Here is a 5,206-nt window from a genome sequence, read left to right as displayed (position 1 = left end):
GCCCCAGTCCTGCCTCAACTTGGAGCCTCCAGAATTCAACCAAATCGATCACAGAGGCCTTCTTAACTTGGTCAGGTCCCATGCTCTTTTTTTTCCCTCACTTTAAAGTCTGTTGAGGCGAGAAGCTAATTCCAAGTTCAGATTCCAATACTTTTAAGAGCCCTGTTTCAGAAAATCTTACTACAATACACTTTTCAAACACAACTATGTGACTGAGGCCTTGATCCATCTTTCCAGATGGAGAGAACTCAGCAAGGAGCCCAAGTACCAAAAGATTGCCCCAAGATTCGTTTTCACTGCCTTCTCCCTGCTTATCAGGCAGTTCCCAAAAGGTGATCAAAAGGTCACTTCCCCACCTCCCTGTATCTCATTATTAGGGGAATGGTGAGTGTGTGGGAAAGAGACACCAAGGTAGCTGGAAATGGGCTCTCAAGCATCCACAGATAAATGCAACGCTCTTATTGGATATATTGGATATCTTTACCTCTTTACCTTAACAGCTTAGATAAGAATGAGTAGTCATGGATGTCATGGGTGTCTCATTGGTAACATAACAGATATGTTGTAAATGTTTTAGCAGACAAAATGTTCTTAAGAATTGAAGTGAGGCCGGGCGCAATGGCTCACGCCTGTAATCCCAGCACTTTGGGAGGCCGAGGCGGGCAGATCACCTGAGGTCATGAGTCTGAGATCAGCCTGGCCAACATGGTGAAACCCTGTCTCTATTAAAATTACAAAAAAAAAAAAAAATTTAGCCGGGCACGATGGTGGGCACCTGTAATCCCAGCTATTTGGGGGGCTGAGGCAGGAGAATCTCTTGAACCCAGGCTGCAGAGGTTGCAGTGAGCCGAGATCATGTCACTGCACTCCAGCCTGGGTGACAGAGCAAGACTCCGTCTCGGAAAAAAAAAAAAAAGAATTGAAGTGCAAGGAAGTGAATGAGTATGTGTATGTGTGTATAAGCATGTCTGTGCTTTAGTATACTAACTTACAATTTTCTAACATTATGAGCTTTTGGAATTAAGATATGCACACTCCAGAAATATAGTTAATGCTTAACTAATCAAGTTGCAGGCATTCAGGGTAGATGATCTTTTATTTAAGTGTTTATATATGTATAAATATATACTATGTGTGTCCTAATTTTGCCTCTTCACTTCGCCAATACCTGGTAAACAGTTCTTAATAGTAAATATTTTCTGATTAAATGACTAGCGTGGTTTCTGTTTTCCTTATTTGACCTTGACTGCTACACCAAAAAAAGTAATTTCAATCAAAATCCTAATGGGAATTTTTTGTAAACCTACAACTATTAAGATCCATTTAGAAGAGAAATAAAAGAATCTAAGAAAAAACAAACAAAAGAAACACCCCAGCCTCTGAAAAAGAAACATAACAGTGGGAATGTCATTGCTCTACCAAATATAATAGTCTATTATGAAGCTGCACCAATCTTAAGGAATGTGATACTGGCACAGGAAAAGATTGACAATGTAGCAAACTGGAAGGAACAAAAGGAGACACAAATATTTCTGATGGTGTTGGACATCTCAAAATTATTTCAAAAAATTAAATATCTTCCAACTTACACGATATACCCAAATTAAGTTGAGATAGATTTAAGAGTTAGATGTCCCCTAATGTAATAATTGATTGAGGCAAGGATCATTAATGGATGCTAATAACACTGGCTAAAAGAAACAGGATATTCACACTGTGCTAAAGTATCACCCCACAGAATTCTGTACTTATTAATATTAAAGGCAGGTATCTGGTGGTCACCACCTTAATTAAATGATCAAACTTAGCATCACTGCTAATGGGACAAAGAGACATCTGTGCCTCCTGACACATGCAACATGGCAATGCTTCTGAAATATTCTAGCAAAAATTCTTAACCCATATCTGGCTGGGCACAGTGACTCACACCTGTAATCCTAGCACTTTGGGAGCCCGAATCAGGCGAGTCACCTGAGGTCAGGAGTTCAAGACCAGCCTGAGCAACATGGTGAAACCCCCATCTCTACTAAAACTACAAAAATTAGCCAGGCGTAGTGGCACACGCCTGTAATTCCAGCTACTCAGGAGGCTGAGACATGACAATTGCTCGAACCCGGGAAGCAGAGGTTGCAGTGAGCTGATATCATGTCCTTGCACTCCAGCTGGGTGACAGAGTGAGACTGTCTCAAAAAAAAAAAATTTTTTTTAACCCAAATCTAATCAAACCTCTAGACCTAGCTTCCAGTTTAAAGAAAATACAGGGAATACAGGAACAAGATAAACAATAGCATGAAGAAATAATTGGACAAATCCAGCGTACTGGATGTTATACCTCAAAATTATTCTGGACTCATCAAAAAGACAATGTCGGGGGAAGTAAGAGTAGAGGCACTGTTCTAGATTAAAGTAAATACAGTTTAAGACTCATAGATTTAACTACATACAAATTTAAACTTTTGAATCACAAACAAGCACCATGGACAAATGACACACAATAAACTGGGAAAAATAAATGAAATATATCTGAACAGAAAAACTAAATATCCTTATTCTATTTTTCAGTTTTTACAATTGAAAAGAAATAAAAGATTTATACTCTAAAAGAAAAATGTCTAGGTTCTGCAGAAGAATGAGCTCAGTGAAAAAAAATGTCTAAGGATATGAATAAATAATTCAAAAAAGAAGGGCAAAGGTGAGAAGTTATGAAATACTTTTAGTATTAACAACTGCTTGGTTGAAGTTTCTCAGCCTTCATCAGAATCGTCTGAGATGCTTGTGGAAAATGCAGCTTCAGCCAGGTGCGGTAGCTTATGCCTGTAATCCTAGCACTTTGGGAGGCCAAGGCAGTCAGAACACCTGAGGTCGGGAGTTCGAGACCAGCCTGACCAACATGGAGAAACCCTGTCTCTACTAAAAATACAAAAGTAGCCAGGAGTGGTGGCGCATGCTTGTAATCCCAGCTACTGTGGAGGCTGAGGCAGGAGAATCGCTTGAACCCGGGAGGCAGAGGTTGCGGTGAGCAGAGATCACGCCATTGCACTCCAGCCTGGGCAACAAGAGCGAATCTCCATCTAAAAAATAAAATAATAAAATAAAATAAAAATAAAAATTAAAATTACAATGCGGCTTCCTGGACCTACCGTATTTAAATTGAGGCCCAGGAGTCAGTATAATAAACATTCCCCTATAATTATTTTGGGAAGCCGAGGCAGGCAGATCGTTTGAGCTCAGGAGTTCGAGACCAGCCTGGGCAACATGGTGAAACCCTGTGTCTATTAAAAATACAAAAATTAGGCTGGGCACAGTGGCTCACGCCTGTAATTCCAACACTTCGGGAGGATGAGGCCGGCAGATCACGAGGTCAGGAGATCAGGACCACCCTGGCTAATACGGTGAAACCCCATCTCTACTAAAAATACAAAAATTTACAAAAAATTAGCCAGGCGTGGTGACACACGCCTGTAGTCCCAGCTACTCGGGAGGCTGAGGCAGGAGAATCGCTTGAACCCAGGAGGCGGAGGTTGTAGTGGGTCGAGATTGCGCCACTGCACTCCAGCCTGGGCGACAGAGCGAGACTCCGTCTCAAAACAAAACAAAACAAAAATTAGCTGGGCGTGGTGGCGGGCGCCTGTAATCCCAGCTACTCGGAAGCTGAGGCAGAAGAATCGCTTGAATCCAGAAGGTGGAGGTTGCAGTGAGCCGAGATCGCGCCACTGCACTCCAGCCTGTGCGACAGAGAGAGACTCCGTCTCAAAAAAAAAAAAAAAAAAAAAAAAAAAAAAGAAAGAAAAGAAAATAAAAAAAAAAATTGAAAAGAAAGAAAAAGAAATAAAGAAATAAAACTCCCCTGGCCCGGCGTGGTGGCTCACGCCTGTAATCCCAGCACTTTGGGAGGCCGAGGCGGGCAGATCACGAGGTCAGGAGATGGAGACCATCCTGGCTAACACGGTGAAACCCCGTCTCTACTAAAAATAAAAAAAAATTAGCCGGGCGTGGTGGCGGGCGCCTGTAGTCCCAGCTACTCAGGAGGCTGAGGCAGGAGAATGGCGTGAACCCGGGAGGCGGAGCTTGCAGTGAGCCGAGATCGCGCCACTGCACTCCAGCATGGGCGACAGAGCGAGACTCTGTCTCAAAAATAAAATAAAATAAAATGAAACTCCCCTAATGACTTGTAATCACACTATTTGGAAAGCAAGGGTATGACTAGAAACTCTCCTTCTGGCCGGGCGCGGTGGCTGACGCCTGTAATCCCAGCACTTTGAGAGGCCAAAGCAGGTGAATCACCTGAGGTCAGGAGTTTGAGAGCAGCCTGAACAACATGGAGAAACCCTGTCTCTACTAAACATACAAAAATTAGCCGGCTGTGGTGGCGCATGCCTGCAATCCCAGCTACTCGGGAGGCTGAGGCAGGAGAATCCCTTGAACTCGGAAGGCGGAGGTTGCCGTGAGCAGAGATCACGCCATCGCACTCCAGCCTAGGCAACAAGAGCGGAACTCCGTCCCAAAGAAAAAAAAAAATCTCCTTCTTTCAATCTACTTACCTTTGTTTCAAAAGAAATGCAGGAAAATGGAGTCTAGTCTGTATGTCACTGGCCTATGTGTTGCCTTAGGCAAATTCCTTAAACGCATTAGTACAGTGGGAACAATATCTACCTTGAAGGGCTGTTGGAAGGGGTAGAGACACTGTAAAGTGCCTAGTACTGTGTTAGGCATTTAATAGCTTCTTAATAAATAGTGGTTATTATTATTTTTCACTCTAACTCATTTTGCACTTTTAAACTGCTACCGTTGTTTTTTCAGGTGACATGATTCTTTTCTTCTGTATCGTGCTTTATGCATAATTGCTCAAAACTGGAAATAACCTTGTTATGGGTTGAGTTGTATCCCCTCAAAATATGTGGAAGTCCTAACCCCCACAACCTCAGAATATATAACCTTATTTGGACATAGGGTCATTCGATGTATTAATAATTACTCATACTGGAGTAGAGTGGGTCCCTAATCTAACATGATTGGTGTCCTCATAAGAAGAGGAAGATTTGGACGTAGATTCTCACAGAGGGAAGACAGATGTGAAGACACACTAAGGGAGATAGCTCTGTGACTCCAGAGGCAGAGATTAGAGTGATGCATCTACAAAGTAAGGAATGCCAAGGAGTGTCAGCAAACACTAGATGCTAGAAAGAGTCAAGGAGGGCCGGGCGCG

Source organism: Homo sapiens, chromosome X, assembly GCF_000001405.40.
Source record: "Homo sapiens chromosome X, GRCh38.p14 Primary Assembly".
Taxonomy (NCBI): Eukaryota; Metazoa; Chordata; class Mammalia; order Primates; family Hominidae; genus Homo; species Homo sapiens.
This window is presented reverse-complemented; position numbering follows the sequence as displayed.